This window comes from Homo sapiens, chromosome 1 (genome assembly GCF_000001405.40).
Source record: "Homo sapiens chromosome 1, GRCh38.p14 Primary Assembly".
Taxonomy (NCBI): Eukaryota; Metazoa; Chordata; class Mammalia; order Primates; family Hominidae; genus Homo; species Homo sapiens.
Genome location: NC_000001.11, coordinates 208394574 through 208421177, shown reverse-complemented (window position 1 = coordinate 208421177; position 26604 = coordinate 208394574). Strand labels below are relative to the sequence as shown.

The 26604-nt window shown below is 40.7% G+C and overlaps 4 annotated features.

The window, feature by feature from the left end:
* Positions 1593-1762: an enhancer, noted in NCBI's record as "experimental_1780 CRE fragment used in MPRA reporter constructs". NCBI's record gives its function as "activates a minimal promoter by MPRAs in K562 erythroleukemia cells, with activity observed for both the introgressed and non-introgressed 1:208592846 variant alleles {active_cell/tissue: K562}" and the evidence as "EXISTENCE:reporter gene assay evidence [ECO:0000049][PMID:34662402]".
* Positions 4498-4667: an enhancer, noted in NCBI's record as "experimental_1772 CRE fragment used in MPRA reporter constructs". NCBI's record gives its function as "activates a minimal promoter by MPRAs in K562 erythroleukemia cells, with activity observed for the introgressed 1:208589941 or rs1991539 variant allele {active_cell/tissue: K562}" and the evidence as "EXISTENCE:reporter gene assay evidence [ECO:0000049][PMID:34662402]".
* Position 4582: a transcriptional cis regulatory region, noted in NCBI's record as "Neanderthal adaptively introgressed variant 1:208589941 (GRCh37/hg19 assembly coordinates) or rs1991539 in the experimental_1772 CRE". NCBI's record gives its function as "modulates activity of the experimental_1772 enhancer by MPRAs in K562 erythroleukemia cells {active_cell/tissue: K562}" and the evidence as "EXISTENCE:reporter gene assay evidence [ECO:0000049][PMID:34662402]".
* Positions 7870-8062: a silencer, noted in NCBI's record as "fragment chr1:208586461-208586653 (GRCh37/hg19 assembly coordinates)". NCBI's record gives its function as "represses an EF-1alpha promoter that drives an FKBP-Casp9 reporter gene in an ReSE screen in K562 erythroleukemia cells {active_cell/tissue: K562}" and the evidence as "EXISTENCE:reporter gene assay evidence [ECO:0000049][PMID:32094911]".

The following is a 26604-nucleotide window of genomic DNA, read 5'->3' as shown; positions in this document are numbered from 1 at the left end:
GAAGTAAGGATGCAAGAGCAATGCCAATCAAGTGGAGTTTGCCTCCATTCAATGTCTGCCAAAGCACTACTTCTCTCTAGTGTCTTTGTATGTGTCGGCCTCTTTGATTTTCATTTCAGGCTAGCTAGACATAAGCTGTTGCAAGTCTCTCAGAATATCTCTACAAGATGAGACACATCACCCTCTAAAATTATCTAACCTGAGTGAAATGCCAGGGAGTAACCTTTGGCCTCTGTCTTTTTTAATTGCAACTCAAGCCATTTTTAAGCCATGGGCTGTGACAGCCCCATGCTCTGCTCTCCTTCACCCACTCTTCACTCCCCCTACTCCTCATGGGCTGTGGACTCTGCAGAGGATTGTGTGTGTGTGTGTGTGTGTGTGTGTGTGTGTGATGCACTGTATTGTCTTGTTTAAAAAACAGATGTGTCTTCCCCCAGACATATAGTCTTAATTCCACAACAAAGGCACCCATACATAGATAGGCCTTACCAACACATACATTCATGAAGGCACATGTGCACCCATACATACACACACACACACACACACACACACACATAACTCAGAGAGTGGAAAAATTCACCATGCTAAGTGACAACGCATGTATTTCAGGAAGATTCAGAGTAGAATAACTGGAAAATGCTTTAAAGATTATTTTCTCCAAGCTCCCTACAGAAGATAACCCTGGGGCACTGAGAAAAGAAATGACTTTTCCAGGACCATACAATGAATTAAAAAGAGAAAAATAATTAAAATACAGTTTTCTGACTCCTGAACCCCAGAACTCTTTTCCCTAAATGCAATAAAGCCCAAGACCAAAGATGCCAGACAGCAGTTTAGGGAGTACAGCTTCTTAAATATTTGCTTCTTTAGATGTTGTTTCCTTCTCCTAGACAGCAATCCAGCTCCCTTCTTTGACTGGCGGACCCCTTAAGAAGCAGGTCAAATAGCACCTCCTCCAGGAGGCCTTCTCTGATGCACCCAGAGTTAAGTTAAGGCCCATTCTGTGAGCTCCCATAGCATTCTGTGCTGAATCCTAAACTAGTACTTTTCGTCATTTATCCTGTGCTGGCTCTTTGGTCTTTTATTCCTCCCCAGATGCTAAGCCAAGAAGGATGTATATTGTTCATGGTTGTATCCCCAACCCCTAGCCCACTGCACAGTGCTCAGACAGATCTCATTAAACTACGCAAAATCTCATGGATCCAGGAAGCCATCACAAGGGCAAGGGGGCATGTGTGCAGCAGAGCCTGAGCCAGGTAATTTATCAACAAGCTGAGACAGGCACACAAACAGGAGAGTGAAGGGAGGTAAGTCGCTACTAAAACGTGTTCCTAAGAGGCAAGCACAGCACAACTTCAGACCATCTTACTCTTTCATGAAGCAGAGATTCTTATGAGGGTGAAGACTGCTATAGGTGAAAGGAGGACAAGAAAGTGACTCCACTTGTATAGAGAGGCAGAAAGGAAGCAGGATGAAGCAGGGAAGCAGAAGCTGGAAACATCCTAAAATGGATAGCAGTCTGGTTACCTACTTGGGATCTACGGCTTGTTTCTCAGAGGAGCAGTATTTTGGGGGTTCTCAATTTCTGTCTGTTGAATCCATTGACCATCTGCTTACAGCAGACCCAGGCTTTATGTGTCTAGTTTGGGGAAGCAGATGGGGGTGGGGTGATACGAGTCTATGAAATATGCTCAGCCCCTAACCCAGTACTGGGCTCTCAGAAAATGCAGATGACTTCTTGGGTGTTTTCCATGGGTACCTCTCTCCCTCATTAGGCTACACTTGGGTCATTAATCCTGCACCTTGGATGTCCTTACTCTTTGCAAACGTTTGCTGAGGACTATCATGGAACTGGAACTGGTCAATCAGTTACATAGATCAGTATGATCATAGGAATCATGGAAGTACACATTTTGTAAAATTACAGATTATTAGGCAACCATTCTACATCTACTAATTTAAACTCTAGAAAACAGGCTTAAGAATATGTATTTTGTCCAAGCACCCCAAGCAATTCATACCCTCAGATAAGTCTAGGAAACACTGGCAGAAATACATAATAGCAATAACAATAATATTTATCATATAAATAAATTAATTAAATAAAGATAATGATTCCTGCCTTCAAAGAGCACACAGTCAGGTAAAAGAGCATTCTTTAAAATAATCATTCCTGACTCAAAGATACTCAACTTGCTTTCTAAAATAACACATATAAATAACTACAGTTTCATTTTTAGCTTTATGATGTTCACTTGTGTGATTTCTGTGCAAGCATTTCTTGTGAGATTTGACTTGGAAATCCCCAAATGGAGACAGGTAACCAAAGAGAGAGCTCCAGAGTGCTACTGAGAGCATGGGCCCTTTCAGGGGACCCTCTGCAGAGCCGGGCTCAGGAAAGAAAAATGTAAACTTTTAAAAGAGTTTCTTTGGGTTTTGAGGAATATTTGCAGGTAGTTTGGAGAATGAATAAGAGTAAAAATCAGCCACCCCCAGCAGAAGTTAATGATAATTGAGGCACTTAGTACACATTATGGAGACAAAAAACAAATCCCCCGATTCAGCCAATAAGTAATACAGAACTTGGAGTAGCTGGGCAAATAGTTCTCAGAAATTACTGGACAATCAAAATCCTATTTGGCTGTAAATTGTGTATTGCCACCGTACCAGCTGCCCAATCTCCCTCACCACTCTGCATTGGCACCTCTGCCTCTTTAGCCACCATTACCCCTCCTCTGGAGAACCCTTCCCTTCCTCACCCACTATGCTTGGCTCCCTTTCAAATGTTCTCACCCTACTCTGGGGAGCTTATCATCAGACCATGAGGCATTAATGCATGTTCTGATGGTGGAGACACAATGAAGTTCTTTCTACATGGTGCCAAGATAATCAGAAGCCTTGTTAGAAGGGAAAAATCAGTCTGATTGACAGTCGGTAGATACAAAGACTAAATGATGGACTGCATTTATCACTTTTCAGCTAGTACATTTTGATGTTAAATATTATTGAATTTGGGGGATTACAAGTTTCAGAGTTTTTGTTCCAAATTTATTTGTTTGCTTGTTTGTTTTGTCTTGTGTAGCTGTGGGGTTTATTTTTCCAATGAGCTGTTATGCAGAAGCCTAATACACAATATATGCAAGTAGAGCTGCTCTGGAAAGAGTAGGGAAAGAGATCAGATTCCTGCTTCTCCTTGCCCTTCTTTTTCTTCAGTGGCTCCTATCACCTCCACAGACGCTTGAAGACCCAGAAAAAGAAAACCTGCTTAAAAACCACTTTTCCCTCCAAGACCCTTGTTTTACAAGCAATGAAACTGAGACTCAGAGAATGGAATTGCCTGCCTGACTTCTTGCAATGGAGCAGAACTGGAAGCAGAACTCAAGTCCCTGGAATTCCATTCATTGCCTTTGTCTCCACACCAAAGGGCCAGAGGCTCTCCACTTCATGGGTTCTCACCACCCCAGGACAGTGGGGAAGGTGGCAAAAGGAGGCAGCAGCTGTTTCTTAGGCAGGCCATCTAATGCACCCTGCACTTACCCACTGCTTTCTTTGTACATATGTTCTCATTTTGTTGAGGTTCTGAATTGGATTAAGGTCAAACCCAGTGATTTAACCCTTTCTAAACCAGAAAGATATCCTGAAAGAAGACAAAATGGAAAGTTACAGTTTTCTTCTTCAGTCCACCATCAATTTCTGCCTACTGTAACCAGGCCTGCCTATCAAGGAAGCAAGTGCTCACAAAGCTCTCTGCAATCCTTTCTTCATCCCTCTACCTCCTTCTCAATCACAGATCCAGTCCACAACTCCACATTTGCATTTGTCACTCTTCCGCTCTCCATCAAATGTTCTTAGCTTCTGTCCAGATTCTTTACCCTGCCCTGGAGAGCTTCTCCTTTTCTTATTGGCCAATAAGGTATTAATATATTAGTTGCTTCAAAGTGCACTTTTTAATGAGGGTCGTGGATGTTCATTTAGTGGAATTTGATAGTGACTATACATTGACATTGGTAAGGTTAATGATTCAATGCTTTATTTCATTGAACAAGTTGAACAACACTTAGCACATTGATCCACAATGTCGTACAATCCATCTTTGCTATTACTTTAATGGTGCCATGGCATCGATGCCCTTTAAGTAATTGTCAGTGTGAAAAGATGGACTTGGCCTTGTCATGTCAGATTAGAGCTGTGCTGAATTGTGAAAAAATTTTGTCTTTTTAAAAATTCTTTCTTTCCCCTCATTGTATGTCCTTCTGATTGAATAGGGAGGCATGGGCTTGTAGATGCCAGGAGGGACAGTCTGGCTATATAGTGAAGAGACAGATTGGGCATGCAGAGACACAATGATCTACATTTTCTAAGCCCTGATTTTCATCCTGCATCAGACCTGCATGACCTTGGACAGGCTTCTTAGCTTCCTTAGATCTCTGTGCTTTCATTTTTGAAAATGGAGACAATTAATGAAATCTACCTGTCCCACCTACTTCACAAATAATGAGCCTTAGCTTTAAGGCATGATGCTCTGCCCCTGGCTCCAAGGAGATGACAGAAGAGAGAGAAAAGAATGGGCTGGAATCTCACCTGGGCCCTGCCCACCAGGACAGATAGATAAAAGTCGGGGACACTATACCAGGGGCCAACTCTGGGTGACAGCTTGGATGGCTACAGTGTCTAAGGTCTTGACAAGCCCATGGGTCTTCCAGGAGAGGGTATTGAGAGCCTGACCAGCTAGTCAGAACACATTTGTAGAGAATAATACTGACACCAAACAGGCACTCATTACTCTGAAATATGTCCTTGGGACACAGTTGTCCAGCAGGGCTGAACTCAGGGCAGGCCTCCTGACTTGAAGGTGAGCATTGGTTGGGTGAAAACCTTGAAAGGGAGACCTCGGCAGAGAGGAGGATGAGCTGTGGCTTGGGGACTACACAGGGTCCAGTGGTTTCCCTGAGTAGAGATATCTCATGATGTTTTGGCAGGAGCAATTCTAATGGTAGTTGGGTGACTGAACATAGTTAAGTCTTAAGCCTACAAACTCACTAGATTAAGAATTAAGTCTATCCAAAGTCCTGCCTTGGTCAGGACTAGCTAAGAATTTGGGCGAAGTTGCAGAAAGAGGAGAGTTGTAATCTAATGAGCAAGAAGCCCCACAGCACCCTATGTGAAGGCTATGGAGGTGGCATATTGAACATGGCTTTACCCACTGCTTGCTGGCTGACTTTGACAACTGAGCAGGTTACTAAGCAGCTCCAAGTTTCATTTTTCTCTTTTGCAAAACGGGAAGCAAAACTACCTCACAGGGGCTTTGGGAGATTAGTTGGTACATGTATGGGGTGGGTGGGGTGGGGCTTGGCTGGGGAAGCATCAAATTTTTGTTTGAAAGGAATGAAATGAGGCAGAAGAAAGAGGTATGAAGTATGTTTAACGTCATCCATTTAACAGACCTGCTATGTACCAGACACTAAACTTGGAGTTGAGAAAACAAAGATAGACCATATGCTATCCCTGCCCCCAAGTCGCCCACAATCTAAGAGAGGAGACAGACTGTGTATTTTGATGTCAACTCTGAAATATTTAGTCCTAAAGAAAGGAAAATGTTAGCAATCTCCAGGAAGGCAAAACTGTAGGGCCTCTTTCTTTCCATCGTCTCACTCACTCCCCACAGCACGTTTCTAATTCTGCCTGTGGCTAGATGGGTGAGTTTCACTCTGGAGGAAATTATTAGGGAGCCACACTTGGCTGCAGAACTAAGCCATGTTCTGTAATAAATTTTACCAATAAACTTGGTATTTTTATTTCCATCTGTTTGACAACTGTGTCTTATTTCTCAATTGATTCTGAATTCAATAGGGGAAGAAAGGGGGAGTTATTTATTGGTTTCCACAAAATCCAACATGATACAGGTTATTGTACAGCAGAAGTATGTGCAAGGCATAGAAATTGTATGCAGCATGGACAGATTTATTCTATATGGCGTGTGTGTGTGTCTGTGTGTGTGTGTGTGTGTGTGTGTGCAGAGTCGGGGGAAGACTTACAGAAGTGGGGGACGAGCTGCTAAAGAAAGAATGATTAGGAAAATGGAAAGAAGAAAAGAAGAGCACCCCACACACATCCATAAAACAGCAAGTACAGGGGCTGGAAGGTGAGAAAGAGCACATGCAAAAAAATTTCAGAAACGATCAGACATTGTGTAAATGTTCAGTAGGAGTGTAAGTATCATTTGGTCAATATTGTACCAAAGAATCCATATCTTCCAAGAGAACATTCCTCAGATTACTCCGTGTTGGAATTAACAATGCCACAGTAAACCCAAGGAAATACCCCGACCAGAGCTGGCCCAGTGCAAAGTGGAATGACACTAAAGTATATTTTGGGGCATTGTTTTACCTCAACAACACAGAATCTTGGGTTTGGGTCTCATCATGCCATTATCAGTGCAAACTTTGTGAGGCCTCAGTTTAACACGTGTAAAAGGACAGTATTACATAATCTCTAAGTCTTCTTCCAGCTCTGACATTCCATGGACTTCTCGTCCTTTCACAATTTTTTTTTTCCCAATCAGTCCTTTCCTGCTGAACTCTCAACAGAGAACCCTAGTCTCAAGATCTGTATAGATTAGTTATCAATGTTTCAGACCTAACTTTGCCAACACTTGGGAACACAGCCCTGTAAAGCATCATTTGGCACTTATTTTGGCACTTCCTTATTCTCCACACAGGAGAGTATGGTCAATTTTTTAAAGAGGGAACAAATATTGAGCTGAGCCATTATTTGATTCTGGAATCAGATTTAATTCTTGAAGTCCTTCTTTTTCTCTTAAGAACTCCATAATCCAATAGTCATATTTATAGACCCATAAAAAAGGGTAATGCCAAGGGTGTCTCCATGCTGAAAATAGGGCAAGTGTGGAATGTCTATTCCTTGAGGGTGAATTTCTCAACGCTGGCATTACTGACGTTTTAGGCTGGATAATTGTTGTGGCGGCTGTCCTGTGCCTTGTAGGATGCACAGAAGCATCTCTGGCCTTTATTCCCTGATGCCATAGAACCCCTCCCCAGTTGTGACAACCAATGGTATTTCCCCAGGCATTTCCCAATGCGCCCTGGGGATCAAAATTGAGAACCATTGTCTTAGGAGGTTCCAATTCCCTCTACCTAAGGTGAGTAAATTGATTGTAAACACACATGCATGTCCTCAGAGAGGAGCTAAAGAATATATTTTTCTTTGATACTATTCATCCCTTTGTTAATTCAACTAATGGAGTTCTTACTGGATGTTGGCTACATTTCTTGGTTATTTAAATTCTCATTTCGGAATCCTTAACTCTATCCATTTTTAAGCCTCACAATGCTGGCTTTTTCCTACATCTCCTTAGCTGTTTCTCACGTCACCACCACCACCACCACCACCACCACAGCTGTTACTGTTGTTCATGATCCTAAAGCTCACTCATCCCCGTCTCTGAGCTTCCACACCTGCCACTCACCCACAGGAAATCATATGCACCAGTGAAAACTCTGAGGCCCTGAAGGCAAGGCCTTGAATTCTACTTTTGGTTCTGTCCCTTACTGGCTGTGTGACCTTAAAAATGTGTGTGCCTCTCTGAGTGTCATAATCTCACCTGTAAAATGAGAATGACAGTGGCACATCCCTGCCTACCCATCCTGGTTGTTTTGAGGGAAAAATAGGAAAATGGCAGAGAAAGTGCTTTGAAAACTATGAAGCATTGTACAAAAGAGAAAGATTGTTATTATCATGATCATTATCTGTAGAACAAAAGATTTGGAAAGGAAAATAGTATTAGCACAAACTGCTTATCCAGCAGAGAGAAAGGCAGATGAAGGAGCAAAACAATAATCAACTCAGATTGGGCACAGGATAAGAAATTGGAGAAGAAAAGCATAGTCCCTTTGCTGTTTTGAGGGCAAGTACACTCCCTTCCTCCAGGAGTGGGAGCTAAAGATAAGACACCCCAGCGTGACTGTGAGAAGGGACTTTATTGGGCCCCTATGCAGGGCTGCTTGATGAGGCCTGGGGCTGCTTTCAAGTACAACTGCTAAAAGCATAGCTTTTTCGTGCAGAGGGGACCTCAAGGAGATAATCTGTTAATGTACATTAGATACTTACTTACAATGTGCCAGCCACTGTGTTTGGGGTGATTCCTGAGGATGCTTTCATCAGCAATGCATCCAGAAAGGATGGGAAAATCTACGCTCCCCTCCCAGCCCAGGCTGTCTCGTCTATGCTACAGGACCTGTCTCTGCCTCACAGTGTCCCAGTGTAAGATCTCTATATTCCGTAAGGAAAACATTGGTAACCTTTGGAAATGTACTAGAGCATGAAACACGGATTCTGTGAAATCACTTTTGTAAATTGTGAAGCATGTGTCATGGTTCTATTTTTTATATTATAAAAATGATGATGATGATAGTGGGCATGTATATATAATGCTTAGTATGTGCCAGGACTACTCTAAATAATTTAACGTTCATTCATCAATTAACAGAAACTGAAAGTGAAGATAAATATGAGTAGTATTGCATAGAGGGGCCTACCAAGCCTCCCCTCCTTTTTATTTATTTATTTTTTACTGTTTCCATGGTTCTGTGTTTTTGGATTTTCCATGAAAGGGGAAAAAAAGTATGTCCAAAGTGGGCAAGAGTCCAGATAGGACCTAATAAGAGCACTACCAGCAGCAGCGGAAATGAACACATCATATTAATTAAGTAAACAAGAGGACAAGGGATAGTGGCTGAGGCTGGGAGGTTCACACTGCAGATTCTATGGCCTCCAAGAACAGAGCCAGTCGGTAACTATGAAACAAGGGGGAACTTATCTGAAAATGTGGAGTTAGAAGCACTAGAGGAAGTTGGAGAAGACACCAGTTACAAGACACCATAGGGAATTTCCCTTTTGTACTCAGGTAGAGATTTTAGGGGACTGAATCTTCCCATTATTCTTCAAATGGTAAGAGAATGATTAAATAACTGTTGTTTCCTTATGTACAAAGATACATGACCTACTGATAGGACCGTCAGGGTCCTGTAAAGAGACATTTTCTTTGGCACTGAAGGAAACTGTTCTACTTTCCTACAAGAGCAACATGGTATTCCAGTGATATTCAATTTTTTATTTCCCCTACCCCTGACTAAAGAAACCATTGTACCCAGAGATCTCCACTTTTCTTTCTTTGTGTGAGATATCCATTTTTGAGGATAGTTTGTGAACTCAAGTCATTTTGATACCTGGAAGTTGTGCTTTTTTATTTTGCTTGAGGTCAAGTCCTTCTTTCTGAGCCAGCAAACATTTCATGTTCGCTAAAACAAGAAGGAAAGAGAGGCAGCATTCACTGATGTCCTGGCTGTAGGCCATGGCAGCCCAGGGCTGACAGTGGGCCTGCGGTTTAAATCTGAAAGGATGTCCCGTTCAGTGTGGGCATGGTCTTCGTTTCAATCATTTAGCACCCAGACTTGACCCTCAGGCTTCTGTAGTCCAAGGAAACATCTTTGGCAGCTAAAGATTCCTTTTCTCACCCAAATACAATGCCTCTTATATTTAAAACCTCCAAGGCTGGGCATAGTGGTTCATGCTGGTAAATCCAGCACTTTGAAATGCTGAAGTGGCAGGATCGCTTAAGCCTAGGAGTTTGAGAACATCCTGGGCAACATAGCAAGACCTCCTATTTAAAATAAAAAATATTTTAAAATACATAAAATCGTCTAAAAATTTATCTTTGTGTATGTTAGTGTACTCCCCTGTTTAGCACTTAAATAGCATTCCACTTAGTCCTTAAAACAACCCTGAAAAGACAGGCATTATTATTATTATCATCACTCCATTTTACAGCTGATAAAATGAGGCTGTGAGTGAGTAAATAACATTTCCAAGATCACCCAAGATCAGAAAAGGATGGAGTAGAATCTCAGCCTGAGTGATGTTTAGAGTTTGGAGACTTCGAAGACCGTGATCTTCACATTTCACCCCACTGCATTCACTTATTGGCTATGGGTTTGTAACCTCTCTTTGAAGGCCTAGTCTGCCTCACCCTCTAACAATCTGAACCCTCTAATGGCACTGGCTGGGTTCTGAGGCATCTGGGAGCCCATAACTCCCATCTCTTATGGCTGCTTCTTTTATAGCTGTACACCAAGCCATCAGAAGGGTTCCCATCGCTTTTGATGCAGCTGCTTGGAACACAAAGAGCCCCGAGGAGCCTCAGAAAGAGTACAGCAGTGGCACAAAACCTCCTGACACTGGGTATGGGGTCTGTCCTTTTATCACTATCTCCTTTCCTTCTAAATTACTTTTGATTATACAGCATCTGCTTTCTTCTGACATGCATATGCTTCTCCCCCTAAATCTGAATGCCTGTCGAATAGCCCATACAGAGAGCTGCATACAAATACACAGCTGAAAGTTGTCTTTAGAAGCCCTCCAAAAATCAGATCTACAAGCTCAGCTAGCAGATCTCTGGGAGGTGGCAGATAGCAGCACAGGCAAAGACAGAAAATGCCAGACTCCCCCAATTATCTGATAGCTCAGAATCTTTCCATTCCTCTGGGTGCAGGCAGAGAGAGCAGGCAATCAGCAGGGAGAGACGTTCCCGCCTTCCACTGGATGATATGTGGTCTCCCAGGCAGTGGAAGAAAAAGAGGGCATCTGGGATGTTAGGATGAGCCCACAAAGCTCACAGAGGAAGACGCAGACAGTGCTCTGGTGTTGGTAAACCCCCGTGTTGGTGCTTCTGCAGCTCCCCATATTCCAATCTCATTCTGCCCGCTGGATGCAGTCACTAGTGTTCCCACTTTAGCCCCTAAATCCTGCTCCACTGTGGTGTCCTTGTAGACATCACTGCTTTCTCACTCATCTTTGTTTCTTTATCTTCCTGTAGACTTACCATGTTTCTCACATAAACTTACATTGAAAAAATATTGGTACAGTTGATTTGATTGAGATGGTTTGATCTGCATTGGTTGGCTATATGGAAATTTACAACAAAATAATACCGAAATAGTTATTAAAGCCAAGACCCCAAGAAGGCCTAGTGTGAGTAAAGAAATATGACAGACTAAGTAAGTCAGCTCTTCTTGGAAAGGATAAAGAAGCCATTGATTACTTCCTTTCCCTAACAAAAGTTTTTTGGGAAGGGACTGGGCAGAACTGAGGGCAAGTCAATCCTGTGTCCCAGGGGCCTATCCAAGCCAGGGTGGGAGACTTCTCCTTCCTGTAATTTCAGTGTGTGAAGCCAGGGAGCAATTAGAGAAAACGGCCTCTTACTGCAAGCCAGGCACTTTAAATGGATTATCTTTAACAGCTTTATGGAGGTATAATTGACATACAATAAACCACACATATTTAAAATACACAATTTGATAAAGTTTGACATCTATACACCAATAACATTTTCACCATGATCAATATAGTGAACATATTTATCAGCCTCCAGAATTTCCTTTTACTCTCCCTCCTGCACCTCCTCACACTCCTCCCCAGACAACTATTGATCTGCTTTCTGTTGCTGTGGATTTATTTGCATTTTCTAATGTCTTAAAATAAATGGATTCATACAGTTTGTACTCAGCAGGTCACTCCATTATATTGCTGAGTAGTATATACCACAATTTATTTATTCACCTGTTGATAGGCATTTGGATTATTTTCAGCTTTGCACAATTACAAATAAAACTGCTATGAACATTTGTATACAAGTCTTTATATGAACATGTGTTTTAAATTCTGTTGGGTAAATACCTAAGAGTGGAATGCCTAGATCACGTGTTAGATGCCTGCTGAATGTTTAAGAAACTGTCAACCATTCTGCAGAGTGGTTATACCACGTTACATTAACAAAACCAGAGAAGGAGCATTCCAGATCCAATATATCTTTGACCACACTTAGTCATTTTAATTTTAGCTATTCTAACAGGTAGTGGTATATCATTGTGGTTTTAATTTGCACTTTTCTAATGACTAATGATGTCGCATATCATTTCATGTGCTTATTTGCCATCTGTGGTAAGTTTCAAATCTTTCGCCCATTTTTAATTTATTTTTGCCTTATTATTGAGGCTTTTAAAAATCAACTTTATTGAGAATTAATTTACATACATCTCAATGAGTTTTGACAAATGTATTCACTTTGGTAACTATCACCACAGTCAAGATACAGAAGATTTCCATCACTACAAAAAGTCCTGCCTTCTTTTAGAGGGCCCATTCTTTTACGTGTGTGTGTGTGTGTGTGTGTGTGTGTGTGTGTATTTAATAAGAGCTTTATTGAGATATAATTTAGATATCACAAATTTACCCAATTAAAATATATAAGTCAGTACTTTTTAGCACATTAACAGATTTTAAATCATCACCATAATCAATTTTAGAACATTTCGTCTCCTTATACACACTAGCAGTCACTCCCCATTTCCCATCCATCACCTAACAAGCACTACACAACCGCTAATCTGCTTTCTGTCTCTAGAGATTTGCCTATTCTGGACATGTCATATAAATGTAATCACGCAATAAGTAATCCTTTGTCGCTGTCTTCCTTCATGTAGCATAATGATTTCAAGGTTCATTCGTGTTCTAGTATATATTAGTGCTTCATTTATTTCTATTGACAAATAATATTTCATTGTATGACTAGAATGCACACATTTTATTTATCCATTCATCCGTTGATGGACATTTGTGTTGTTTCCATTTTTTGGCTTTTATGAATAATGCTGCTATGAACATTTGTGTATAAGTGTTTGTGTAGATATTTGCTGTCATTTATTTAGAGTGTATACCTAGGAGTAGAATTGCTAGGTCATATGGTACTTCTAGACTTAATCTTTCAAGACATGGATGTGTTATTTTCCAGAGTTGTACCATTTCATATTCCCACCAGCACTGTATAAGGGCTCTGATGTCTCCACATTCCTTCAGATATTTGTCATGGTCTGTCTTTTTTATTAGAGCCATCGTAGCGAGTATGATGTGGTAATACATTGTAGTTTTGATTTGGATTTCTCTGATGGCTAATGATGTTGGGCACCTTTTCACGGTTTTATTGGCCATTTGTATACCTTCTTTGGAGAAATGCCTATTCAGATTCTTTGCCCATTTTAAAATTGGTTTACTTGTCTTATTATTGAGTTGTTATTGAGTTGTTAAATTTTTTTATATATTCTAGATATAAAGTCTGTTATCAAATATGTGATTTGTGAAAATTCTATTTCATTTTGTGGGTTATCTTTTCATTTTCTTGTTGATATCCTTTAAAGCTCAAAGTTTTAATTTTGTTGATGTCTTCTTATTGGTGAGTTTTAAGAGTTCTATGCATATTCTAGATGCAAGTCTTTTATTAAATATGTGCTCTGAAAATATTTTCTCCCAGTCTGATTTGTCCTTTCATTCTCTCAATGAATTCTGCTTTTGAAAAGCAGAAGTTTTTAATTTTCATGAAGTTTAATTTAACAATACTTTTCTTAGATTATGCTTTTTGTATAAAATTATCTCAGAAACTTTTACCTAATCCAAGATCATAAATATTTTATCCTATATTTTCTTCTAAAAGTATTTTACATTTGGAACTATAATCAATGTGAGTTAATTTTGCAAAATTATGCAAATTGAAAGTTCTTTTGCTTTGTTTTGTTGGCATAAGAATATCCAATTGTTTAGTACCATTTGTTGAAAAGACCATCCTTTCTCCACTGAATTGCTTTTACATCTTTGTCAAAAACCTGTTTTCCGTGTATCTGCAGGTCTCTGGACTCTACTATTTTCCACTGATACTTTTGTCTGTCTTTATATCAATACCACAGTGTCTTGACTCCTGTACCTTTTATTAGTCTTGAAATCAGGTAATGTTTTCTCTCAGCTTTGTTCCTTTTTTTAAGTTGTTTTGGCTATTCTAGATTTTTTTTTTTTTTGCATTTCCAGTGAATTTTAGAATTAGCTTGTCAATTTCTGCAAGAAAGCCTGCTGAAATTTTGATTGTGATTACATTAATTTTATAAATTAATTTAGGGACAGTTGACATCTTACAAATATTAACTCTCCCAGCCCATGATAGGGTATATCTATTTCAGTCTTGTTTAATGTTTCTCAACAATATCTTATAGTTTTCAGTGTATAGTTTTTAACATCTTTTGTTACATTTGTCATACTTTTGAAACTATTGTAAATGGTACTGCTATTTAATTTCCATATCCATTTGTTCATTGCTAGTATATAAAAATACAATTGATTTCTGTATATTGATCTTGTATAATATCTTGGTAAACTCACTTATTAGTTCTAGTATTATAGCTTTTTTGTAGATTCCATCAGATTTTCTGTTATCAGAAGTTATCAACTGGGAGTGGTTTTTACCCCTCTGGGGAGACAGAAAACAATGTTTGGATACATTTTTGGTTGTCACCTCTTGGAGGGAGGAGGGGCAGTGCTATGGGCATCTAGTGGGCAGAGGCCAGAGATTCTGCTAAACATCTTACAATACACAGGACAGTCCCCCACAACAAAGAATTATCAGGAAAAAAATGTCCAGCAGAGGTTGAAAAAGACCATTCTACATAGACAGTCATGTACTCTACAAATGACAATTTTACTTCTTCCTTTCCAATTTTTTTTTTTTTTACTTCTTTTTCTTGTCTGGTTGCACTAATCAGAATTTCTAATGTTGAATAGAAGAGGGGAAAGCAGGCATATTTCCCTTATTCTTGATATTAGAGGAAAAGAATTCAGTCTTTCACTATGAAGTATGATGTTAGTTGTAGATACTTTTGTAGATGCCCTTTATCAGGTTGAAAAATGTCCTTTCTATTCCTAGTTTGCTAAGAGTTTTTTCAGGAATGGATGTTACATTTTGTCACATGCTTTTTCTGTCTCTGTTGAGATGATCATATAGTTTTTCTTTTTTATTTTACTAATATGGTAAATTCAATAGATTCATTTCAAATATTAAACATGTGCTTTTTTATGATAAATCCCTCTGGTTCAAGATGTATTTTGATTTTTATGTAAGATTGGATTGGATTTGATAATTTTTTTGAAATTTTTTGCATCTATGTTCACAAGATGGTCTGTGGTTTTATTTCTAATGTCATCTGGTTTTTCTATCTGATTTTGATAACGCCAGCCTCAAAGGATGAGATGAAAATTATTTCTTCATCTTCAATTTTCTGGATCAGTTTATATATAATTGATATTAGCTTTTTTTTTTTTTTTTTTTTTTAAGATGGAATCTCACTCTGTTGCCCACACTGGAGTGCAGTGGTGCGATCTCGGCTCACTGCAACCTCTGCCTCCCAGGTTCAAGCGATTCTTCAGCCTCAGCCTCCTTAGTAGCTGGGACTACAGGCATGTGCTATCAAGCCCAGCTAATTTTTGTATTTTTAGTAGAGACGGGGTTTCATGATATTGGCCAGGCTGGTCTCAAATTCCTGACCTCGTGATCTGCCCCCCTTGGCCTCCCAGGGTGCTGGGATTGCAGGAGTGAGCCACAGTGCCCGGCCAACTCTTTTTTGAATATTTGGGAGAATTCACTCACCAGTGACGGTATCTGAGCCTAAAGTTTTCTTTGTAGATGTTTTAACTACAAATTCGAGGTCTTCATGTGCTGTAGGACTATTCAGGTTATTTATATCTTCTTGAGTAAGCATCAGTAGTTTATGCCTTTCAAGAAACTTGTCAGTTTCTTCTGAGATGTGAAATTTATAAAGTTGCTCACAGTATTTCCTCTTTGTCTTTTTAATATCAGTGGATCAGTAGTGATGCCACTTCTCATTCCTGATATTGGTAGCTTGTTTCTTCTCTCTTCGATTCCTGATCAGTGTTGTTCGTTCTTGGAGATAAATAAAATTGAAAAACCTCTAGCCAGACTGTTTTCTATTTTGTAGATTTTTGCTTTAATAGTTATTATTTTCTTTCTTTTTACTTTAGGTTTAGGGGCCCTTACTTTCCCAGTTTATTAACATAAAAGGTGACATCATTGATTTGAGATTATTTTTTATTAAGAAATATGTTTAGTGCTATAATTTTTCCCCTAAATACTGCCATAGCAGCATCCCATAAAGTCTAATATATTATACTTTTTTTCAATTCAAAATACTTTTGATTTTTTTTCCTTGACCTGATGGATTATTCAGAAGTGTATTTTAGTTTGTAAATGCTTGGTTATTTTCTAGGTATCTGTATGTTATTGATTTCTAATTTAATTTCATTGTAGCCAGAGAACACATTTTCTAGTATTGGAATTCTTTTAAATTTATTAAGACTTGTTTTATGGCCCAGGATATGGTCTATCTTGCTCATGGAACCATCTGGCAATGCGCAATAAAAAGCAGGTTCCCAGCCACAGGACAGCCATTCAAAGGCAGGCTTCTATCCCTGACAAAAACTTAATGTTCCATGTGCACTTAAAAAGGTATACATTTCGCTGTTATTGGGTGAGGCTGTTCTATAAATGTCATCAGGCCAAGTTAGTTGATAGTGTTATTCAAGTCTACTATATCCATGATGATTTTCTGTCTGGAGACTACGGCTTTATAGTTTTTATCAACTTTAGAAAAAAATTTTGTCCATTGTACCTAAAAATATTTTTTTCTGACTCCTCTCCACCCTTTTTTCAGAAACTTCAATCACATGTATACCAGACTGCTTGAAGCTGTCACATGGCTGTTCCCATTTTTTTTAATTCTTTTTTCTTCCTCTGTGTATTTCATTTTGGGGAGTTTCTATTGCTATATCTTACAATTTACTAATCTTTTCCTGTGCAATGTCTGTCTACTCTGCCATTAGTCCTATCCAGTGCATTTTTTATATCAGACATTATTTGATTGCTTTTTCTTTCTAGAAGTCAGTTTGGGTGTTTTGTATATCTTCCATGGCTCTATTTAATTTTTTGAACATGCAAATACAGTTATAATAACTGTTTAATGTCTTTGTCTAATTCCAACATCTGCATCATTTCTTGATCATTTTCGATTATTTTCCTCATATTTTTCTGCTTCTTTGTGTTCTCGTATAATTATTGCATTCTAGACATTATGAATTTTACCTTATTGGGCGCTGGATATTTTTGTAGTCCCAGAAATATTCTTAAGCTTTGTTCTTGGACATAGTTAAGTTACTTGGAAACAGTGTGATCCTTTTGAGTCTTGCTTTTAGATGTGTTAGGTGGGACTAGAGAAGTGTTCAGACTAGGGCCAAGTGTTCTCCACTACTGGGGCCAGACCTTCCTGAGTATGCCACCCTGTGTCTCACTTATTATTGGTTTCTCCAGTCTTGGTGGTGGAACAGGCACTATTTGTAGCACTGTCATAGCCAACAAAACTCTTCTCTATAATCCTTCTAGATGACTATTTCTCAGGCCTCAATTATTTTTCTAACATTCAGATGGTTGATCAGTACTCTGCCAAATACTTGAGACAGACCCTTTGCAGATCCTGAGGTTCTCTCTGTGTAGCTCTCCTTCGTAGTATTTGGTCTCTGGTCTCACAAACTCCAGCCACATTGGACTCCTTGAACCCTCCCCTCTGTCTCCTCAAGTCATGAAATTTGCCAAGCTCTGCCTGAGTTTCCTCTGCTTACATCACAGACTAAAAACCCCTCAGTGGAGTAAGCTGGGCTCCCCTCATTTGTTTTCTCTCTCTCAGGGATCACAGCCCTTTGTTGCTTGATGTCCAATCTCTTGAAACTATTGTTTTATATATTTTGTCTGTTTATCCTTTCTTTGCAGCAAACAGGATGGTAAATCCAGACCTTCTTACTCCATCTTGTCCAGAGGTAAAAGCCTCTAACTACATCATCTTTCAAATTTCACAACCACTCTGTAAGCACTAAATTCATATTAGAATTATGCTTACTTTCTAGAAAGATAATTTGAAGGATAGAGAGATTAAGTGAGCTGTCCAGGATTCACACCTAGATCTGTGTGAGTCCAGAGTCTGTGCTCCGAGTTATCATCAGACTTGCCTCTCTAGGTTTGTGACACCCTCCTAACACTTACAGGTAGGCTTACCTAGCCCATGACCAACCCCAAGTCGTCCTCACTTGAGGTCCACTTCTGACCACACTCAGGCACTCAGTTACTTCTTCAATCCTAGTCCATTTAGTAGTGAGCATGGGTGGTAAGAGAACAGGATGTGAATAAGCAGCTCCAGATCCCAGTTAGGAAGTTAAAGTTGGAAATGGGGATCTACCAAGTGATGCCTGGTGGTCCCATCTAGTGATCTTCAATAGAAAGCCAGGCTGCAAGCCACAGGACAGCCATCCAAGGGCAGGTTTTCCATCACTGGGAAAAACTTGGTAAGATTTAAAGGCAGAATAAAAACTTGGACAGAGATCAAAATAGAATTATAGTTTTCTAATATAAGTTTCTAATAAAAGTGTAGTTTTTCTAATATAAGTTGTAATTTGGGGATAAGATGAAGGTAACAGCCTGTTTCTAAAACAGGTGTGCCATTGGTAAGGAGGTGGTGGATGGAAGAGAAAAATGAAGTCCAGGTGTCAGGACTGGGTAGCATATCCCCAGCCAGAATAACAGAGACAATGACTCAGTGCTAAGCCCACAATATGACAGTCTAGGATGGCTTAAGATCAGGATCTCAGAGCCTGGACAGGCCTGGAATAACAGGAACAGAGACAGTAGACCAGCTGTGGAAAAGTAGAAATGAAGATCTTAAGGACTTCTTTGCCCCAGATGCCCTGTCACAGTCACTTTAGAAACCTCAGTGGAGACACTTGCATTAGTTACAGAGAATCAGGCATTGAGAATGGCTCAGTCCGTAGGGTGGTGATCATAAGTTCAAACTTATGCTCACAAGGCTATGAGCATTTGAGGAGGCAATTGTTTTGTATGGAAGGTATGTTCAACTGAAGAAGGACTGAAAAGTCTATGTTGCTACTAGGTTTTTCTGACTTGGGCCTAGGACACGAAGGTCGTGGGTGAGAAAGGACCTTTAGAGCTGCTGCATCCACAGAGACCAGCAGCGATAGATCATAAATCAGGTCAGCTCCCAGGCCACATTCCTTCCAGGAAATAGTATGGAGGCCTAAAGGAGAGGCCCACCCCTAGGGCGGTCAGTAGGAAGCAACACCATGGGAGATGTGCTCTACACTCCTCAAATAAGAAATTCCGGTGGCCAGGCATGGTGGCTCATGCCTGGAATCCCAGCACTTTAGGAGGCCAAGGCTGGCAGATCAGGTCAGGAGTTCAAGAACAGCCTGGCCAGCATGGTGAAACCCCATCTCCACTAAAAATACAAAAATTAGCCAGGAATGGTGGCATGTACCTATAATCTCAGCTACTTGGGAGGCTGAGGCGGGAGAATTGCTTGAACCCAGGAGGCAGAGGCGGGAGAATTGCTTGAACCCAGGAGGCAGAGGTTGCAATGAGCCAAGATCGTGCCTGCCACTGCACTCCAGCCTGGGTGACAGACCAAGACTCCATCTCGATAAAAAGAAAAGAAAAGAAATTCAGTTGTCCTTATAGGTTTGACAGTGTGTCACAAATGATAGCGACATTTCTTCAAGGTTAATTCACAGCTGAATCATTCTCATCCTTCAGGTCTCAGCTCTAATATCTTCCTCTGAGAGGCCCTTCCTCGCTATCTCTTCTTAAATGGATTTGCTAGTTTCTGACTCATCTCATGTATAGAACTTAACAGATGAGACCATGAATCCTGAGGTCAAATTGTCTGGATTTAAGTCCAGATTCGGTCACAAACATGCTCTGTGAATTTTGGCAACTTATTAATATTTATTTGTCCACTTTCCATGGATTAAGTTGTCATTATAGGACCTATCTCTAGGATTGTTGTGGAGATTTACTAGCTAAACATTAGGTTGAACCTATGAAATTGCCATTTTGGTAAGTCAGTATGGTCATTTATCAACAATTTCATATGGATCACCCTGAAATATATGTGAGGCCTTAGAACTGGGCTAGTAAGCAGTAAATAGAGGTGTTAGGTATTACAAATCAATCTGTAATTATTATTTTTTAAAATTTTTTAGAGATGGGGGTCTCACTCTGTTGCCTAGGCTGAAACACAGTGGTACAACTAACTCACTGCATCCTCAAATTCCTAGCCTCAAGTGATCTGCTTGCCTTGGCCTCCCAAAGTGCTGGGATTACAGGCATGAGCCACCATGTCCAGCTTACTTATTTTGTTTATTCATTCATTGTTTATACCCCACAGTGGAATGGAAGCCCCTAGATGGACCTTGGCCATCTTCTTTGTCACTCTGTGCAGGGCACCTGGTACAGTCCCTGGCACACAGCCATTGTTCAATAAATATTTACAAAAATTTAAATATTTCAAACTTAAAAAGATTTACATTTAAATTAAATACTTAATATTTACAAAGATTTAAATATTTATTGAACAAACGAATGGGACATTTGTTCTGACCCCTCTAATAAAGACTGGGCACAAGGCTGCTGGTAGGAGGCATATACCTGTGACTACCTCATTCTTACGTCTCAATGGAGAAGTAAGGATAAAAACAAGGCTGCAGGGTTCTGGTGCTAACCCACCTCACCTCCTTGCTTGCACTCAACCACTGCTGGCATGGGTAGGGCTTGAAAGAGCTGATTGGTGTGTTCCCTGTGGGATTCAGCAGAGTCATGTGCTCCTGAGCTGAAGTCAGCAGCGCTCACTTTCCCAAAACAAGCAGGGTTGCAAAATGAATAAACAAGAAATACACCCCTCTGTCTGTGTGTTTGTTTGATGATTTGGGTTTGTATATTTCATTACCATAATGACAGAGGTGAGCTAGGCTTTGGAGCCAAGTTCCCCTCTTCATCTGGATTGCCTGGGAGCCAGTCTGGAGGGACAATTAGTGAACAGAACCGCAGTGGGAATGAGTGCCTCTTATTGAATACACAGCTCAGGATCTAGGGGCTCATGTTTTTCTGACATAAAAACAGACTTATTTCAGGCTTATCTGTGCCAGCAGGTAGCTTGGCATTTTAGTAAAGTGTTTTCCTACATTGCCTCCTCAAGTCCTGGCCACAGACTTTGCCAGGGGGGTAGACTCTGAGCTCCTATCAAAGCCTCTGACTGCAGAGCCCAACTGGCCCACCCCATGCACTGAGTCCCTGTCTTTGCTTTGAAAAGTACAGTTTAAAAAAACAACTGAAAAACCCACTGCTTTGTCTACCCATAGATGCCTACTAGAGGCAAGACATGGGCTGGGTTTGTCCCTCTATGGAAGGCTTTGTGGTGTCATTACCCTGACATCTGTGCTGAGTCCCGGCGGCCCAGTAACCATGAGGCTCAGCCACCGCTCCAAGGCCCAGAAAAGCAGTTAGGGGAAGTCAGGCTGCACGTATCTATTAGACCTTGTAATGGTTCTTTTGAGAATTTTGCTCCTCTTCCCACTGGTGTCTGTATCTGTGCATTTCCCGTATATGTTTTCTCTTTTCTTGTTGGATTGTAATTCCCCAAACCCTTCTTTTCTCATTTCAGCTCTTTAGAGTCTCTCCTCCTTTGCCATCGCTGTACTTCAGCATCTGGACCAGCAGCCCAACAGAGGCCCAGGTTGAATTTTTTTTTTTTTTTTTTTTTTTTGAGACGGAGTCTCCTTCTGTCTCCCAGGCTGGAGTGCAGTGGTGCGATCTCAGCTCACTGCAAGCTCCGCCCCCCGGGTTCATGCCCTTCTCCGGCCTCAGCCTCCTGAGTAGCTGGGACTACAGGTGCCCGCCACCACGCCTAGCTAATTTTTTTCTATTTTTAGTAGAGACGAGGTTTCACCGTGTTAGCGAGGATGGTCTTGATCTCCTGACCTCGTGATCCGCCCGCCTCGGCCTCCCAAAGTGCTAGGATTGCAGGCATGAGCCACCATGCCTGGCTAGACTGAATTTTTTGCCACTCACTCCTTTCTTCCCTGCACTGGGCCCCTCAGTCCAGCTAAGCATTTATTCCTTTCCCAAGCACTCCATGCTCTTTTTAATGTCTTAGTTCCTTTCTTCATCCTGCTTCCTCTGCCTGAAAATTCTTTCTTAACCTTATATACTTGTCAAACTCCACATACCTTTTAAGCTGAGCTCAAAAGGTCACTTTCCTGACTCCCTAACACATTATCTCTTCCTGATTCAGCACTTTAGTATTATAGCGTAATTTCTTAGGATTTTTCTGCTAGACTGAATGCTTCAAGTTAGGGACCGTGCTTCATTTATCTCTATAGCCCTTGTTCCAAATATAGCACCTACATATTAGTAGGTACTCATTTAATATAAAAGTGAATAAGTGAATGAATGAATGAATGAATGAATGGATGATGGTCTGCTGAGTATCAGATGCTTTCTTCTAAAAGCTCAGCACTCCTAGGATTCTTAGCAATACCCTTCCCTCACCTAATGTATCATCTTAAAGAAAAACATCTTACATATAGACATCCTTGGGCTTTTATCTTTTCCCTTTATTGCAGTCTTGTGTGTAGAATACAAATCAGAAGTAAATATATGGGGGTATCCCTCAGATGGAATCCCCCTATCCATTACTGACAGTCGTCCACCAGAAATGTTTTTGTGCCCTTAGCCCTTCAACTTTAAACATGGCAGTACTGGACTGCTTCTGTTTAACATGAATTGCCTATTTCTGACAGATGTCAAGTGTGAGGAAGATTGCCTTTTACTTTATTTCATTTTATTTTACTTTATTTGAGACAGGGTCTTGCTCTGTTGCCCAGGTTGGAGTGCAGTTGTGTAATCACAGCTCCTTACAGCCTTGACCTTTCGGGCTCAAGCGATCCTCCCACCTCAGCCTCCCACATAGCTAGAACAACAGGTGAACACCACCACACCCAGCTAATTTTTATATTTTTTTTTGTAGAGATGTGGTCTCTTTGTGTTGCCCAGGCTAGTCTCAAACTCCTGGGCTCAGTGATCCTCCCGCCTTAGGCTTCCAAAGTGCTGTGATTACAGGTGTGCGCCACCATGCCTGGTAGAACTTTGCCTTTTAGATAGATAAAGAGATTTCCAAGGGGAAGGGAGACCATTGCTGGCCTTCAAAAGGAGCAAACAACTTACTGCCCTAGATTACTCCAGGTCCGCATGCCCCACATCTCCCCAAGCAGGATTCTTGTTAGCTCTTATTTGCTTACGAGTCTCTATCAACCATGCAAGACCTTAGTTCTCACACCTGCCCCATTCAGTTTTTGCATTTTTCATTACATTATTCCAGCATGTAACCTTGGCCATGTTCCTGACTTCATTCCAATGGAAAGACCCATTTTTAGTATGTGGCTATTCCTCTCCTGGCATTTTGACACCTAGCCCACCCCCAAGCTAACTATTCATCCCAGATTGCCTGGGACAGTCCCAATTTACACATGTTGTCCCAGTGTAATTATTAATAGCACCCCCTTTTATTCTTATAAGTGTTCCAATGTGGATGATAAATTATATGATCATCCTACCCATCTCTGGGTTTTCCTCCTTCTGTCTTGGAACTGACAGCTCACTTACTTGTCATACCCACCTTTTAATATGCTGAGATAGGACAATTCCCATCCTGACTTACTTCTGTCTATTCCACAGCATTTGGATTGCTGGGCAGAGCCAGTAAATGTGTTAGAATGAAATTTTTGCCTCCTGTCCATGTTCCATAGACAAATACGTCCATGCTCAGCATGCGCATGTGCATACACGCACATGCACACACACACACACACACGTACATGTACATGCACACAATGGAAACAACATTAGCATCCTTGTTTTTCACAAAGAGATCTCCACGTGGTATAAAGTAGGGGAGGAAATGGTCTGGCAGCATTGTAATGATAGATGTCAAACAGTGACACAGAAAAGAATTATAAAGGACCAAAAAGCTAGGGCCAGACAGTGATCAAACTATTTTCTTCCAATGGGATGCAATCCATTTTCCTTTCAAACCTCATACCATAAAGGGAACAGACATTTTTTGCACAGACATGGGCACAAATAATGCTCACAAGGTCTTCCCAGCAGATACTCATTACCCAAGCCAGCCACCAAAGAGTTTTCCCTTAAGTTAAACCCTGTGAGCTGCTCACCTCATGGCAAAAGAGAACATTTGCCTGTTAGTGGTGTTTCATCAGTGTGGCTTTCCATTCTGCCTCCTCTGAAACCTGCAGAAGCCTAGAGGTATTTGTTCTGTTAAGCATTTTATGCTGAAAATATCCCTTATTTAAAATGGCTTCATTATGCCTCTAGAAAGTCTTTAAATAGCACTCCAGGGTTACAAGCTTATCTAACTTGGTATGGGTATTCATTCGTACTCCCTAAACACGGCTAAAAATCTGACTCTTCCAAGAAGGCTTCCCTGATCAAGTGGGGTCCAAGTGAGGTGACTTTTTCCTTTTAATAATCTTTTCAACCAACATCTCTCCAAGTATTCAAATCAGCAGAGGTAAATACGGACATAATTCTTCCCCCAAATTCTACCAGCTTGAAAGAGAAATGTATGCCCAGCTCAGCTCAGTGCTTTTCTCTGAAGGTGAAGGCTTCCCACCTATGCATCACAAGGTTACTTGTGTGCCAAGGCACTGATCTCCAATTCCTTAGTTGGCCAGGCTTGGGGCCTAAGGCAGCCAGAACTTGTGAGTTACTATCTCTAGGACTGAGCAGTCTCGGTGGTCTTACTCCAATATACTGTCCAATATTAACATATTCTGTGTTTGCCATGGCATAAAAACATTAGGAAACAATGCCATGGATCAACACAAACATATGGCCCTGGAACCAAATACGAACCTTAAAGTTGAATCAGAAGGAAAAAAAATTGTCATTAATGTTATGATTAACAAGTCAAAAAGAATAATAACAGGTAGAGAAATGGATGAATAATGTAAAACCATATCAGCTCTAAACACAGCATAAATACCTTGGGTGTTAATACTGAAAATAATTCATATGCTGTCTACTTTGTCATTGATTCTCACAGCTTTTCACTTTTGTTGTTGGTCAGACATTACCTTCTGATGCCATCCAAGGGAAATAACAAAGACAACTCAATGTAGGGAATCAACTGTCTGTTGGAATCAACTGGGCCTGGGAATCAACTCTCTCTGCTGACAATGGGGAGATTGTGGACAACTCACAAACTCTCCAGGTCTCAGTTTTTTCATCCTTTCAATTAAAGATTGATTTGGTTCTTTCAGTACTGAAAACCTGTGACTCTGTGACTATTTTTGAACATCACTGAACCTGGAAATTAAAAGAAATGATAAATATATTGGGCTTATTTAAATTCAAAAAGCCACTACTATTCCATTCAGATCTACTTCAAGAAGCCAACGTGTAGTAGAGAATTCATACAACATAAGTAGAAACATCCAGGGCTCGCCTCTAACCCAGCCTCCTCTGCCTCCAGGCACACATGGATTGTGCTCCCTTGGCTCCTTGCAGTTAGGATCATGTGACTGGTTCTGGCCAACACACTGAGAATGGAAAGGATGTGCTTCACTTCTGAGTCAAAGAATTGCATTGTACAGTGGGAGACCCTGCAGCATTCTCTCCTGCCAGAACTATCCAGAAGTCCATGTGTTCCAGATGGCGCAGTGATGAAGTAGCACTCCATCAGCGTGGGTCCCTGAGTGGCCTGTGAAGCAGAGTCCTCCACTGACTGCTATGGGGAATATGCTTTTGTTTTGGGAGATTTAGGGGCTGGTCATCTCAGCAGCATAACCTAACTTATATTGACTAATATATTAATTTCACTCAATTATCCACTACATTTATTTTGTGGTTGTGTTCTTGGTTTCTTCAGAGAATATGCCCTTGGGTAGAGGAAGAAAGGAAAGGCATGTTGTGTTCTTTTATTATTAATTTGTTTTGACTATGTTGAGTTGTGCGTGGATTACGAAGTGAAATCGAGGCTACCAGTCTTGATAAGAGTTGATGATTCTCATATCACAATAGGAAACTCACTATTTGAGCCAGGCTTACCAGAGGCAAAAAATATAAAAGTTGTGGGGGGAGCAACTGTATATTTTTATTATTGCAAATATACTCATATTTAGTCCCCATCACCCAGTGTCATACTTTTTGACCTCTTTTTTAGTGGACACCTGGAGCGGCCCTGATACATTTGTCTTTTGCTTCCCTGCACTTCCATTATGATGTGAAATTCGAATGCCAGAGCCCCCATCAGCACCTCTGCTCAGTGGTTCGAAGTGGGTTGAATTGTAGCCAGCAGCAGGGGGTGATAAATGTAGCGTGAGCTGACTTTCCCCCAGAAAACTGCAAGTTGCCTGAGCAGTACAACCCACAAAAGGTTCCCGTGGAGTGAATTTATCTTGCATTGTCGAGTGGAGAGGAAAAGAGGAGAGACCAAGCATTCTATTTTTGCAAAGTCACATTCGATCTTGTTCAACGTGCAGTCCACACATCTTTTAAAGGGGGCTCCAATGGAAAAGAGTACCAGCCCAGGAATGCAGAGCAGATAAAAAGATTTATTTTTAACACTGATGGAGTTCACGACCATGCAAGCATTTCAATTTCAAGTCACTCACTCCTGAATAATAATCATGTGTTCTGCTGGAGTGCAAGTTATGTCACCCAATAATTCAAGATGGAGAAGATCATGTCATGGACTGGAGGATACAACCCACCATCAAAGG